General features: G+C 38.3%; 1 protein-coding gene across 3 annotated transcripts in view, besides 2 other annotated features; it reads left to right on the plus strand.

Moving 5' to 3' along the window:
* The window catches only part of FGD4 (FYVE, RhoGEF and PH domain containing 4), a 246,493-nt gene that overhangs the window by 44,416 nt on the left and 186,410 nt on the right, over positions 1 to 15,667 (plus strand). The window lies entirely within an intron of this gene.
* Positions 592 to 1,137: an enhancer, noted in NCBI's record as "H3K27ac-H3K4me1 hESC enhancer chr12:32597499-32598044 (GRCh37/hg19 assembly coordinates)". NCBI's record gives its function as "activates a minimal SCP1, AML or CMV promoter by ChIP-STARR-seq in naive H9 embryonic stem cells {active_cell/tissue: H9 hESC(naive)}" and the evidence as "EXISTENCE:reporter gene assay evidence [ECO:0000049][PMID:30033119]".
* Positions 9,136 to 9,925: an enhancer, noted in NCBI's record as "H3K27ac hESC enhancer chr12:32606043-32606832 (GRCh37/hg19 assembly coordinates)". NCBI's record gives its function as "activates a minimal SCP1, AML or CMV promoter by ChIP-STARR-seq in primed H9 embryonic stem cells {active_cell/tissue: H9 hESC(primed)}" and the evidence as "EXISTENCE:reporter gene assay evidence [ECO:0000049][PMID:30033119]".

Here is a 15,667-nt window from a genome sequence, read left to right on the forward strand (position 1 = left end):
ATATTATACAATTCACCCATGTAAAGTGGACAGGCTGACTTTGTTTTCTTTTTTTTTTTTTTTTTTTTTGAGACAGGGTCTCACTCTGTTGCCCAAGCTGGAGTACAGTGGTGCCATCATGGCTCACTGCAGTCTCGACCTCCCAGGCTCACGCAATGCTCCACCTCAGCCTCCCAAGAAGCTGGAACTACAGGCATGAGCCACCACACCTGGCACATTTTAAAATTTTTTATAGAGACAGGGTCTTACTATGTTGCCCAGGCTAGTCTTGAACTCCTGGGTTCAAGTGATCTCCCACCTTGGCTTCCCAAAGTGCTGGGGTTACAGGCGTGACCCACTGCACCCAGCCAACAGGCTGATTTTCAAGATAGAAAACTTTGACTTGTTTTAATGCAGTTCCATGGAACTCTGAATTAAGCAATTTTTTTTTGTTTTGTTTTTTGTTTTTGAGATGGATTTTTGCTCTTGTTGCTCAGGCTGGAGTGCAGTGGTGCAATCTCGGCTCACCACAATCTCCGTCTCCCGGGTTCAAGTGATTCTCCTGCCTCAGCCTCCCGAGTAACTGGGATTACAGGCGCCCATCACCACACCCAGCTAATTTTTGTATTTTTAGTAGAGACGGTGTTTCACCATGTTGGCCAGGCTAGTCTCGAACTCCTGACCTCAGGTGACCCACCCGCCCCGGCTTCCTAAAGTGCTGAGATTATAGGTGTGAGCCACTGCGCATGGCCTAAGCAATGATTTTTGACAAGAATTTTCTCCTTTCAAAAAGTGCTTAATTGTGGCAAGGTGAGACCTGAGGTGAAGATAAAGGATGGGTGGGTATTTCTTCAGAATTCAGCAGAAAGATTTGCCAACCTTTAAGTAGACACGCCGTTCCAAATTTGTAATAATGTAAATGCTTTCTACCAAATTGTGTAATGAATATATTTGAAATGGTGATTGATATTATTAATAGATATGTTTGACTTATTAGAATATCATTTACCAACATTTAGCAAAATCGAGATAGAATAGCAAGGGTCATTGATGAGTAAGTTCCATGCAGATATGTACCTTCCTGTAACATTTACCAGATGGAGACTTTTGGGTGTGTGCCAAAAGTGATGAATTAACCGTGAAAGAATGTGAGACAAATGAAGTGTGAAGGTAGTTCAAAGGTCCTTAAAGAGACAGAACAGCCCACTCTTGCCTTCATAAGATTTGCTAGAGAAAGAAGTAGGTGCCTAGTAAAGTATTTAGGGAAATCTCAGTCTGGCTAGTCCTTACAAGAAAGAAATCCTTTGAAAGGAATACAATATTCATAATGTGACTGTTTTAAAATAAATTTTTATATGTTTAATATTTGTAAAAAGTCCTCATTGAGATTTTCCTCTCTTCATCTTATTTTGCCATTTCTGTGGTATAAAATAGGTTTTTAGGAAATTTGACTTTGATTTACTCGTGGACCATTGCTTAGGAATGATTAGGTTGCAAATTGGGGATTGTCTGTAAGACAATGGCTTTTTATTTGGGTGAGGACTGAAGAACACATCTCATGATAGGATTATTGAATAAAATCTGTTGTTTCTGTGAATGCTGAAAATGGCAGTTGGAAAACATATTTATTGCATTTCATCAATGGGCCTCTGTGCATTGGCTATTTTGAAATTGAATTTACACATTTCAAATGGTCATATAAGCAGTCATTTTGTGGAATGAAGCATAATTCAAGACTGGGAGTTGGGCTATACTGCAAGTTATGAATAAGATACACACTATTTCCAAGGGCCTAAAATTTCTTTGTTAAACACAGATTCAAAATAACTGTAAGGACCTTCTACCTATGGAACAAATTTGCAAGAAAAGTCCAAAGACTGGAATTTTATTTAAAATTCCTTCATTTGTAGCTAATTTAAAAATGTTACTTTGGACTGGGTGCTGTGACTCACACCTGTAATCCCAGCACTTTGTGAGGCCAAGGTGGGCAGATTGTTTAAGTCCAGGACTTCGAGACCAGCCTTGGCAACTGGAGAAACCCCGTCTCTACTAAAAATACAAAAAGTTAGCCCGGTGTGTAGTCCCAGCTACTCAGGAGACTGAGGTGGGAGAATCACCTGACCCTAGAAGGTCAGGGCTGTAGTGAGCCAGAGATCAGGCGACTGCACTCCAGCCTGGGCAACTGCGGTGAGACCTTGTCTCAAAAAATAAAAATAAAATGTTACTTTGTTTTGTGGACCAAGGGAAACATGCCTGTGGGCTAGTTCGAATGGCCTAGACAAGGTAGGGTAGAAAAAGTAATGTCTTTTTTTTAACCCCACTCATTACAAGGTTCATGGCTGGTGCACTGCTAGGGTCTGAGTGTTTGTGTCGCCCAGCCCCCACCCTCACCCCCTCAACATTTATATGTTGAAACCTGAAGCCCAATGTAACAGTAACTAAGAGGCGGAGGCTTCAGTATGATGAATACGGGGGTTATGTCTAATGGCAGTACACACGGTCGAGGGGTACTTAGCAAGGCCTGTTTGTTCAGATTCTTTTCTGTGTCCCTGTGTCTACAGAGATAAAGACATTCCTTTCCTCCGGGTATAGGAACAGTTCCTGAAATGAGGCTGTTAAGACCTACATCAGGGAAAGGTCAGTTAGGTTTTATGGTCTGCTTCAGGGAAGAAGAGGCATGGAAACAGGAAACAAACTTCCTGCTTTTGCTGTTTCCTCAAGTGCCAGCGTGCCATATTTTGGAGTAGCATGTCCTGAGCCCTATCAACAGCATGCGCGTGATTCTGAGGAGAAACAGGACACAATACCTTGTTCTACAAGCTTAAAAGTGATAATGCCTAGAGCGCGTAGAGATACCAAAGACCTGCAGTGGGGACACTGAGGAACAGCGCGTACAGGAAGTGATGTTGATCTGGTTCCTGGAGCACAGGTAGGATTTAGCAGTGGTGCAATGAGGGGCATGCATCCTGCCCAGAGCCGGAAGCACAGTCCAGTTATTGTGAGCAGCAGACAGTTCAGTGTGTTAGCAGCCTTGGGCTGTGGAAATGTTCCAGGTAACAAAAGGATAAGGCAAAGCTGTCCCTTTATTTTGTTTGAGTCCCTATATACACACAAAACCCCCCAAAATAAATCATATAGGTTAAAGGAAACTATGAAAATACAAAGCTGTGAGAAAGCTTCTTTAAGGCATGTCTCCTAGCTCATCCAGACCGATGACTCCTTTGAGAAAATTTTTCTGTGTAGTGGAGCTGCCACTATTTTATAGGTAGTCACCCATTTTATCTGGGGAGTCATTAGGCTGAAAATAAAACCCTTGCTTGTACCCCTTACCTTAAAAAGGATATTGGCTTAGGATTGGACAAATTTAAATCTTTGGTCCCTTAAATTTTGTTATTCCTTCACTGGACTTTCATGTTTTAGAACCATTTTTACATTTCTCAGTGAGTAGTTTATGGGGTGTGGTTGGTTGACTCAAATAGAGGCTACTAAACTTATTCTTTTAACCTTTAACCTTTCCAGAGTTAAAATTTACTGTCATTCTTTTTAAACATTAGATTCCCGACTTAAGGTGACACAGTTATAATATTTACAGTATCATGTTGTATTAAATGAGATGGCCCATTTGTAATATATGAGATAACCTGATACAACTCAGAATTAAATGTACAACTGAAAGGTTTAGCATTCTAGTCCTGAGCCATCCAAATTCGCTCAGTGACACAGGTCAGATCACTTATGCTGAATGACTTGCTTTGTTATTTGCCTAAATTAGAGAAGTGTAACTTGGTTAAATACGTGATAGGGCAAGGTTTGAAACATACAAACAAAAATGCTGTCCCTCCCTTCAGTACACCGTGTCTGATTTGTTCACTTGAGTCCTTAGCATCTACTACAGTGCTTCACACATAGCAGGCACTCAAATATTTGTTGGTTGAAATATATGTAAGAGAGAAGTACACCTATTTTTTCTGTGGTCATTATTAGAGGCAGAAGGTGTATATTTTCACTGTTTGTTTTTGTGTCTGTGTTGGGGAAGGAACAAACCCTAAAACCTTTACCCATTACAGAAGGAAAGAACATTGGTACAAGACGAACTGTTCAGCAAGAATAGATTTGAATGTCTGATCTGTCCCCAAGTCTTCAGATGCTGCAGATGTTAACCATGGCCTCTTGGATGCCCTCACTTGCTCATTCATTCACTTTGATTGATTCATAAGATGAGCTTGAGTTCATGCCAGCAAGTAAGCCATGATCTTAGAGGGAAAATGACTGGAAGCAGATCACAGTGCAATATGGTGTTAGAGGTATTAGGATGGATAGATGTAGAAAGTACAGTGGGAGTACAAAGAAGGGAAGGGAGCCATCATTTTTGTCTGAGCAAATGGAGCAGAGTCATATGGACTCATAGAAAAAGGGGTGCTTGGCTGGGCGCGGGTAGCTCACCCCTGTAATCCTAGCACTTTGGGAGGCTGAGGCGAGTGGATCACCTGAGGTCAGGAGTTCGAGAGCAGCCTGACCAACATGGTGAAACCCTGTGTCTACTAAAAATACAAAATTAGCCAGGTGCGGTGGCACATGCCTGTAATCCCAGCTACTTGGGAGGCTAAGGCAGGAGAATTGCTTGAACCCAGGAAGCAGAGGTTGCAGTGAGCTGAGATCGCGCCACGGCACTCCAGCCTGGGCAACAAATAATGAAACTCCATCGCAAAAAAAAAAAAAAGAAAAAGGGGTGATTGAGCTTGGACTTGAGGTAGGAATGTGTGTTTAGCAGGGGGAAGGAAAGAAGATAGAAGGGAAGCAGTCCGGTAACACAGGAGCAGCCTCATCACTTCCTGTAGGCTGCAGTATAGGAGAGGATGTGTGGGAGGGAGTGCAAGGTAAAACTGGGGAAAACCAGAAACCATGAGACAGCTCCTGAGACAGATTAGACTGTTTCCAAAGTGTGGTTAGAACATGAATACATTAAATAATAAATAAAACCTTCGTTCCACTAAGTGAACTAAATGTTGTATTTTTATGTAACTTAATCATCTTCATAATGCTCTTGGAGAGATAGACAGTATTAACATTTATAGACTGAGAAACTGAGATATCAAAGTCAGGTAATTACACGAGATGTGGTTCCTATATATTATTTTTTAATTTCAAAAACTATCTCAAATATACAGAAATTTTTTTTTCCTAATTGATTTAATAGTAAGTTACCCACTGCCCCATCATTTCTGTATATTTAGTGCCTTTGTTTTTTTGTCTTAACAAACAAGGACATGCACCTACATAGCTGTAATATAGCTATCAAAACCAGGAAGTTAACATTGATCCATTATTACCATGTAATTCCCAGATCCCATTTAAAGTTTCACCAGTTGCACCAATAATGCCCTTCATGGCAAAAGGATCAATTTCAGGATTACCCATTGCTTTTAGTATCCTGTCTATTTAGGTTCCTATAGCCTGGGACAGATCCTTAGTCTTTCCTTGACTTTTATGACCCAGAGGTGAAAGGCCAAATGTTTTGTAGAATGTCCTTAAACTTGGGTTTATCTGAGGTTTCCTTGTGATTGAATTCAGGTTAGACATCTTTGATGGGACTGTCATAGAACTGATGCTGTGTTCTAATTGCATCTTATCAGGTGACTTATGATTTCTGTTTGTCCCATTATTGATGCTGTTACTTTGATCACTTGATTAAGGTGGTGTCTGCCTGGCTTCTCCAGTGTGAAATTTCTTTTCTTCTTTGTAATATTTTGTGGGGAAGTAACTTTAAGACTATGTAACTGTTTCATTTCTTTTCTTTTCTTTTGAGACAGGGTCTGGCTCTGTTGCCCAGCCTAAAGTGCAGTGGTGCAATCACACCTTACTTCCTGCCTTGACCTCCCGGGCTCAAGGGATCTTCTCACTTTAGTCTCCCAAGTAGCTGGTTCCACAGGCATGTACCACTATGCCCAGCTAATTTATTTTTATTTATTTTTTTTTATTTTATTTATTTTATTTTTTTGAGATGGAGTCTTGCTCCGTCACCCAGGCTGGAGTGCAATGGTGCGATCTCAGCTCACTGCAACCTCCGTCTCCCTGGTTCAAGCGATTCTTTTGCCTCAGCCTCCCAAGTAGCTGGGATTACAGGCACGTGCTACCATGCCTGGCTAATTTTTGTATTTTTAGTAGTGACGGGGTTTCACCATATTGGCCAGGCTGGTCTCGATCTCCTGACCTCGTGATCTGCCTGCCTCAGCCTCCCAAACTGCTGGGATTACAGGCATGAGCCACTGCACCTGGCCTATTTTTATTTTTTAAATTTTTGTGGAGACAGTGTCTTGCCATGTTGCCCAGGCTGGTCTTGAACTCTCGGATTTAGGAGATCCTCCTGCCTTAGCCTTCCAAAGTGCTGGGATTACAGGTATGAGCCACCATGCCAGGCCACCTATTTTTTTTATCACACTTTAAGTTTATTCATTTATATCAGTGTGTAGTCACCATTTCCTAATAAATTATAATCTTTTACTTCCCTTTCAAGCTGGCTTCTGTTCTCTTTTGACAAGTTCTTATAATTCTTTGAGCATGTCTAGCTGACACAAGATGTTCTAGGCTCATCTTGTTCTTCCCTACCCTGTTACTAGAATCAGCGATTTCTCCAAGAGCCCTGGTTTCTTAGTGGAAAAGGGTGTATACAAACCAAGATCTGTCTGCTAAGTATGATCAAAGGTTGTTTCTCCTTTCAGGCTTTCTTGGTGAACAAAGGTAGGGAATATATTCATACACACGTACACATTTACATGTTGTCTCTCTCTCTAAAAGTCATGAATTGTTCATACTGACATATCCACTTCTGATCTTACCACAGGATTCATTCCAGTTTTCTCCCTTGCCCCATTTGTAACTTCTTTTCCTGAAAATGAGAAACCTGGTTCCTTTATCCCTAACTTACTTACTTAGTCAATCCTGCTCTGTGTAACCAGTCTCCCATTGCTGCTGCTCCCTCCCTCTGTGCAGATGTCCTATACACTTGGGCCCTGCCTGACATCCTGTGCTGCAGTGACTGCCACATGGACACACCCTCCTCACTTGGCTTGCACTTGGTTCTCTTTTTAAGTGTGACACATCTACAAGGACTAGACTTCGCTTATAATTTGGGTGAAGCTTTGCAAAGAGCAAAAGTTCTTATTGAGGTCTTGCCTATCTCCTTTAACCTTAAATTGCATTTTTTTGGTCAGTCCTTCTATCTAATTAATTTTCTTTTTGTTTGTTTTGTCCTTAACTACTATAGTGATGAATATATTTACCTGTGGGTATTGATTCTCATATCAATGGTTATGCACATTATTATTAGACAGCTCGTGATATGTTACATAAATGTTATATGTAGTACTTTTTAAGGTATAAGTAGTAAAGCCATATGTTTCTACAACAACATAAAATGCAAAGATGTTAGACCCTGCTTAAAAGTCCCATGTGTCTGCCTGTGATCCTCATGATTATGGATTGCATGGAGTCTGTAATCATATCAGAGTGCCCAATAGAACTAGACTATCACAAAATTTATGATTCTCTGATTTTAAAATTATATCAAAGAGATCACCATTAGTGATTTAGTTTCTTTTGTGTTTGTTATTCCTTAGAAAGGTCTTTTTTTTCTTTGAAAAATGCATGAGGTTTGAAAGTTACTACTTAAGGCCGGGCTCGATGGCTCACACCTGTAATCCCAGGAGGGATTTGGAAGGCCGAGGCGGGTGGATCACCCGAGGTCAGGAGTTCAAGACCAGCCTGGCCAACATGGCGAAACCCCGTCTCTACTAAAAACACAAAAAATTAGCCGGGTATAGTGGCAGTGCTGAGATCACTCCATTGCACTCCAGCCTGGGCAACAAAAGCGAAACTCCATCTCAAAAAAAAAAAAAAAAAAAAAAAAAAAAAAGTAAGTTACTACTTAAGATCATGCTGATATTCTAAAGATAACAATAACAGAGTTTCCTACCTGCCCGAGCTATGTTCCCGTGGAGATCCTTCTTCAAAAACAAGTCACTTTGTTGGACAATAGAACTTCCTGAATGTTTTTTATTCTATGCGCTTACCCTAATTTATAGGAAGCTACGTAAATGTGGACACTCTGTGAACAATTGTTTAATGACTCCCAAGGTTCTGACTGATTAAAAAGCATGCTGACTTTAAAGTTCTTTTTCTTCTTTACATTTCCTTTTGTTAAGTCTATTCTACTGAAGTAACTCTTCTGGAAGCCATCCTGTTTCACTATTATTTTTCAGTGATTTGGGAAACAGTTGTATAGGAAAAAAATTTATGTCTTTGCCTGTGGTACATAGAAATTTTTGTGGAATTCTCATTGCCAGTAAGTACCAGACAGAATTCAGATATCATCTCTCAATCGTAATGAATCTAGTGGTCAGTGTTGCAGCCATCAGTGGGCAGATAACTGTTCCTCCAAAAGCAAGTTAATGCATTCATTTGTCTATGAATGAATTTTTGATAGACAATATTTAAATATTGGTAGACAAGTAGGAAGCTACTGAAGAAGTGATTAATCTGAGTGTAGGTATATCAATTTGTAAATGCAGTTACACTGCAAAGTAATACAACTGGCTGAATTGGTTAGATTTACACAAAAAGTAAAGCTTCAGTGATCACATGGTAGGTGAATGATTTTATTTGAGCATTCTCCTTGCTTTGAATTCTAGTCTACTGTTGTCCTTTGAACCCTATGACTCTTAATAGCCAAGAGTGTATTATGGTAAAGAATAAGTGGGGCGCAGTGGCTCACGTCTGTAATCCCAGCACTTTGGGAGGCCGAAGCAGGAAGATCATGTGAGTGAGCCCAGGAGTTCAAGACCAGCCTGGGCAACATACAGATACTCTGTCTCTTCAAGAAATGAAAAAATTAGCTGGGCATGGTGGTGCATGCCTCTAGTCCCAGTTACTCAGCAGGCTGAGGTGGGAGATGGCTTGAGCCTAGCAGGTCGAGGGTGCAATGAGCAGTGATTGTGCCACTGCACTCCAGCCTGGGCAACAGAGTGAGATTCTGTCTCAAAAAATGAGAATGCACTAGATACACAATTTTATTGAACTTTCTATTATAGAAAATTTCAAACTTATGCAAAGTAAAGACTAGTATGACCCCCATTTACCCATCATCCAGCTTTGATAATTATTAACACATCCAAATAGTTTTATGTAATAAAGATTTATAAAACGTGTGTGTGTATATATATCTATATTATATATATATTTTATATATATATTATATATATATATATATATAATATAGATATATATATATTTTTTTTTTTTTAAATGTAGAGCCTCACTCTGTTGCCCAGGCTGGAGCAGAGTGGCACAGTCTTGGCTCACTGCAGACTCCACCTCCTGGGTTTAAGCAATTCTTGTGTCTCAGCCTCCCGAGTAGCTGGGATCACAGGTATGCGCCATCATGCCTGACTAATTTTTGTATTTTTAGTAGAGATGGGGTTTTGCCATGTTGGCCAGACTGGTGTCGAACTCCTGGCCTCAAGTGATCCACCTGCCTCGGCATCCCAAAGTGCTGGGATTACAGGTGTGAGCCACTGCACCCAGCCTAGGATCTCTTAATTTATCATTAGTCCTGGATAAGAACTCCAGTTTGGCTGATAAATTTTGTGTGCTCATCCTACAGAGAAGCAAAATGGTGTTCAGACAGATAATTAACTTGCCCAACTTGCTTAGAAGAAGCCTAACTTGGGCTCATTGTTTCAGGCTTTCAAAAACTTTTTTCTATAATTATTATCATACTTTATTTTTTAGATTTTCATTTATCTCATTCTTTAGATTGAGGAGGGAAGGCTCACACCTGTTGTATTTACTAATCCACACCCAGTACCTAACTGAACAACTGATGTATAGAGTTCATTAAATATTTGTTGAATGAATGGATCAAAACTATCTTTATATTAGGAGTCTGATTTGCATCTAAAAATATTTTAGGTGGTGTTATTTATTTCCTTCTCATCAAGAATAATTCCACGGTTTTCTTTGTAAGTGGACTCTTGCCACCAGGGAAAGATTGTGGACTCGATTTCTGTGAGTGTTTAGCTGTTAATAAAAAGCCCCAACTGAAGATAAAATGTGAAATGATTAAAAAAAAAAAGGTTTATTTCCTAACCTGGTAGCCAGTTATTAAATTCCTGATAGCATTGAGGAGAAATAGGCACACTGATAACGAGACATGAGAGACAAGTTCTCTGTGTTCCAGGAGCAGAGCAATGTTCTTTTCTCTAACATTCACACTGGATGAGTAATATGGGAGTGACTTGAAGGAATGAGCATTTGTACCGCATGCAAGGGTTTTTACTCTTTCTAGTACCTTCATTAAGGGATTAGCCTTTCGTTCTTTGAAATGCAAAATCTCAGTTGCCCAAAAAGCAGAGTGGAAATGAGCAGCATCCTCTCTTCCTTAAGAGAAGTGGTCTTTCTTCTGTCACTTAAGACATTTTCCTATAGTTGAGGATTTTATAGCAAAGAGAATTTTTTAAACCAAGTTACTGGTTAAAAACTTTTTGTTGTTGTTGTTGGTCTTAATTTCATAGGCACATAGGTTAGGGCCAATCACTAGTCTTTTCTAAGCTTTTATTTTTTAAAAATCGCTAATGCTTTAAAATACTGTCAATGTGATAGGTCCCAGCTGCTGATTCCTTCATACTAAATGATTGTTTTAAGTAAGTTTTGATTCCTGTTTGTCTTTGATTGTAGTAGTTTTGTTTTACTTTTAAAAATTAAATTCAATAGGATCATAAAGCATGCTTTTGACCAAATATTTTGCTGGTATCTTAAATTGACCGCAGTACAATTTAGAGTCTCAGAACATTTTCTTTTAAGTTGCCTTTTTTCATCCTCAGTGTTCTTGTTCTGACAGTGTATCCTGTGATTTTTAAATTTTTCTTCCTTTCTGGGTGAAGTGACAGAATTTTAAAGTGTTTTTTGAAACATCTGGTGATCTAAATACAGTTTGGGGGAGCTTTGACCTACTTAGAATGGTTCTTTGTGCCAGAGAGCATGTTTATTCCCAAGGTAACTCTGCTATGGAATTGCCCATGTGAATGCATTGAGACTTGCAACTTGCCAGATCTTTTATTATACAAACACAATGAAGCAGCAGGCAGCCAAGAAGAAACGAGGAAGATTGCATTGTTCTTGTACTTCCTTGAATTAAGAAGTTTATTCATCTCAGTATTTTCTACAAATTTCTTTGACAATAACATTGTGAATGAGGATTTAGCAGCAACAGTTGATTGCATGTGTGTTCATTGTCAGTATGTTTGCTCTATTGAAACACCTTTATGCATTTTGTTCAGTAGATTATACTTATACATAAAATTTTTTATTTATATTTAGAGCCTTTTTAGACATATGGCTGTATCATGAAGTATAGTAGTATATTCCTTTTAGATAGTTTATTTTAAAATACCAGGATAATTGTATTTAAACATATAGTATAGATTTTGGAATATTATATTCCATTTCTGTGATAGCAGAATATCTATGCCATTTCTTTTATCTCCTCAAGGTTGGATCATTTGCAGTAGACTTTCCCTAATCAGTTCAGTATTTTAACGTACAAAGGTATTTACCCAAAAACTAGAAAATAGAGTCCCTTAAGATAATAAGCAGGACATGTTCTGTGCAGCTTTTATGAAGACTCAAATTTGAGGGTATGTGATTTTTGTTAAAATTAAAGACTTTTTGTGAAATAGAGGTGTTTTTATGTACCTTTGGCCTCTAGGAGGCAGCATGATCTAGTCTAAGATTTCTGTATCCTGAATCAGGAAACTTAGTCCTCTGTCATTTTAAGAACTTCCATGTATGAAAATATTTGCCTTCTGAATCATAAAGTTATGCTATAAATGAATTAAATAATAGCAGATAGTCACAGAGTTCTAGACTAGATTGTTATCCTGTTATTTTCTTTGTGAATACTTAAAAAGCAAAAGGAATTATTGTGATTGCTGTAGTAGTAGCATAACAATAGAAAAAGTAATCATTTCAGTGGACGAGTGCACTTTCAGTTTGCAGACCACTAGTCTCCATCCAACCTTCTCAGCTGTTGTGTAAAACCCTGCAAGCATTACTGTCATTAACAGCTGAAGATATCTTTTTCTAGCTGATGTTTTTGCTAAAATAGTATGTCAAGTGTTTATTTAAAGATAACTTCAATAAAATCTTGGCAAATATTATAGCTCTCCTATAGTTATTACTAAAAGCTATCTAAAATTGCTTGAAATTCAGGAGATACCTTGTGCCCATTTTTTCACTGTAATAGTGTATACTTTTGCTATGTGATTAGAATGTACCCATGTGACTATTGCCATAATTTGTGGCTGCAGGGGAACAGAGACTAGGCATGTATTTGTAAGGGGACAGTGGATGAACAGTTACCCTTTAGTCAATCTATTTTTCTTTACTTCTTTCTGTTTTCATAGCACCTGAGTAATTTCTATTTAGTGGCTCACATGAGACTACTGTAGTAAAAGGATACTACCCCTTGGTTGTTGGAATTGCCAGCTTTGGGAGAATTTATTCTGCTCAAAACTCAAAGATAGGTTCAGAAAGCAAAGTAACTCGTGGGAGGATTTATCCATAATCTTATTAATGAGATTGATGCTGCCAAATATTATCATTAATTTAATTTTGGATCTGTTTTGATCAAAATGTTATAAAGTTCAGGTCATGCCCTCATGCCCTAGAATGTACTTAATCTAGAAATACTTGACCAAAGTAGTCAAAAGCTATACTGAAAGAATTGATAAATGTTTAGAAAAATTAGAGCTGCTGTATATTTCTAAATAATTCCAGTAGATCCTCTTCCACAAAAAGATGCAGTCCTTTTTAAAGGAACAAATAACCTGCCGTTTTCTTGTTTGAGTGGTCTGTGACTTCCATCTCCCCTTTTGTATTTGAAACATAAAGGTCTTCAGTCAGCTAATGAGCTGGGCTTCTTTTGCTTTTTCTGTAAATGCTTATTTGAATGTGCATTGTTTCTGTGTTGACAGGATGATATTTGGGACAAAATGAAAATGCGAGAACAGGAACTGGTGTATCCTATTCTAAGCTCTGTAATGAGCAGGAGTGGACTTGATGAAGGGATTGAGTTATTTGAAAACCTCTAGATTTTAAAAAGCAGAATAAGGCTTCTATCCTCAGTTTTTTATTTATTTCTACATTATGTCATTAGAAAGTTTCTTATAAGCAAATACATAATTTCTACCAAGAAAAACAGTGAAGTTTTAAGTATTCCATTTTAACATTGTTTATAATTTTTTTTTTAACTAGAAATCAGAGATACATATGTGAGACATTTTATAGTTTAGCATAAGTGTGCCTTGGCTTGTTTTTGTCCATTAACTTAGTTCAGGACTGTAACACTTGAAATAATAATGCCTAAAGATGTCATGATCTTAAGACGAGGAACTGTAGTTACTAGATTTTCCTTACTATTTACCACTGTGTTTATTTTGGAACTAGCTTATCTTATGCATGCCACAAGTATATGTCACAAATACACTGCAGTGTGCAAGGAAAATTTTAATATCTAATTGCTAGGGTCTTTTGCAAGAAAAGACAGTTTGTCCTTGGTTTATTAAATTAGTATGGAATAACATGTACTGTTAACAGTGTTTATTGAGCTTCTGAGATGTCTTCAGTGGACTCAGAATACAAGGATTGCTTTCTGTGGGTGTGTGTAAATGTGTAAATAAATGTTTACTGGACTCTTACTAAAATGATCAGTTTATCAGGTACTATTAAAAATATTACATGGTTATTTGTGCCTGGAACAGTATGTAGCATATAAAAATAGAATGCAAATTGCAGTGGAAACCAGAAACAGAGTCCCTAGGGCTGAAAGGGACCTTGGAGAGTATCTGGTGCCTTGATCTTCTAGCTCTGCTCTAAGGAGCTTGGGTGTGGAGTTCTGCTACTGAAATTAAATAATTAAATAATTAATAATTAATGACAGGATTGTTTTCTTTTAATTAGGTAACATAATTTCCTCATTTATGATTTTTCACTTTTTTTTTTTAATTTTCATTATTTTCTACCATTTCTCTGCTTGGGAGTACGAGCCTGAATTCAAAGTGAAATAACAGGTACAAATGAATACAGATTAAGAGGGAAACCTCAAACAGCCAATTTTTTTTGTAGCCTTGTATGCTGGTAGCTGTGATTTTTTCTTTGTTTTTCTTTTTTTTTTTCCTATTTGAGACAAGGTCTCATTCTGTTGCCTAGGCTGAAGTTCAGTACTGTGATCATTGCTCACTGCAGTCTTGACCTCCCTGGGCTCAGGTGATCTTCCCACCTCAGCCTCCTGAGTAATTGGGACTACAAGTGTACGCCACCATGCTCATTTTTGTGTCTTTTGTGTTTTTTTTGTAGAGACAGGATTTTGCCATGTTGCCCAGGCTGCTCTTGAACTGGGCTGAAGTGATCCTCCTGCCTTGGCCTCCCAAAGTGCTGAGATTACAGGCCTGAGCCAACGTGCCCAGGCTGATTTTTTAAATTTCTAATATATATAATATGGTTGAATTTTCCATTCATAAGATATCCCCTGTGTGTGATAGAACTGAACTTAGCTGGTAAATCAATATTTTATTTTATCCCACTGAAACGTGTTATGCAAAGATCATCGTTTGTTAATTTCAAGTGCTCCATCGCCCATAACAATTATTGGAACTAGTGATTTGGTCCAGTAATCTCTTTTACTAATTAGGCCCAGAGAGATTGACTTTCTTAAGGTTACTTGACAAATTAGTGATAGGGTCCAGGTTGTATTCTGTGGCTTATAACTTTACATTCATTGTTCTAGATTTAACAGCAATACTTCACGGGTACAACTGAATTTGGAGGGAGTTTTTGTTTTAGGAAGCATTCACCCATTCTGTAGGGATACAATCCTCATTTTTACCAAAGAGGAAACAGGCTCATAGAGTTTAAAGGATTTGCCTAAAGTTTTTCTAAAGTTTCTCCAATAGTTAGAAAAGAAGCCAGGTCTTTTCATTGGAATTATCAATCCTTTCCTCATGTAACTGGCTATTGGTAGGAGGAAAATTATCAACAGGAGTGATGATACCTTCAGAAATCTCTTGAGTCAACAACTTATTAGAATTAATAATTTTGAAGTATTTAGACAGCAGGAAGAGTTGGGCCAGCAAAGATTATTAATTTGGTTGGCAAATTGTGTTTATTTGGGATGTTTGACACTGCTTTTTTTTTTTTTTTTTTTTGAGACAGAGTCTCTCGCTCTATCACCCAGGCTGGAATCCATCGATACACTCTCTGCTCACTGCAACCTCCACCTCCCAGGTTCAAGCGATTCTCATGCCTCAGCCTCCCAACTAGCTGGGGTTACAGGTGTGCGCCACCACGCCTGGCTAATTTTTGTATTTTTAGTAGAGATGGGGTCTTGCCATGTTGGCCAGGCTGGTCTCTAACTCATGGCCTCAAGTGATCCACCACCTTGACCTCCCAAAGCGCTGGGATTATAGGCATGAGCTACTGTGTCTGGCCAGACACTGCTATTTATAAGGATCATAAAATGTAAATTTAAGGCACTCAAAGATGCTTCTGCATTTGGATTTATCTCCTTCAAAAATAAAGATTTGATTCTTTTGTGCTATTCCTGAAATAAAAATACAAATAAAATAAAAACTTAAAA

This window comes from Homo sapiens, chromosome 12 (assembly GCF_000001405.40).
Source record: "Homo sapiens chromosome 12, GRCh38.p14 Primary Assembly".
Lineage (NCBI taxonomy): Eukaryota > Metazoa > Chordata > Mammalia > Primates > Hominidae > Homo > Homo sapiens.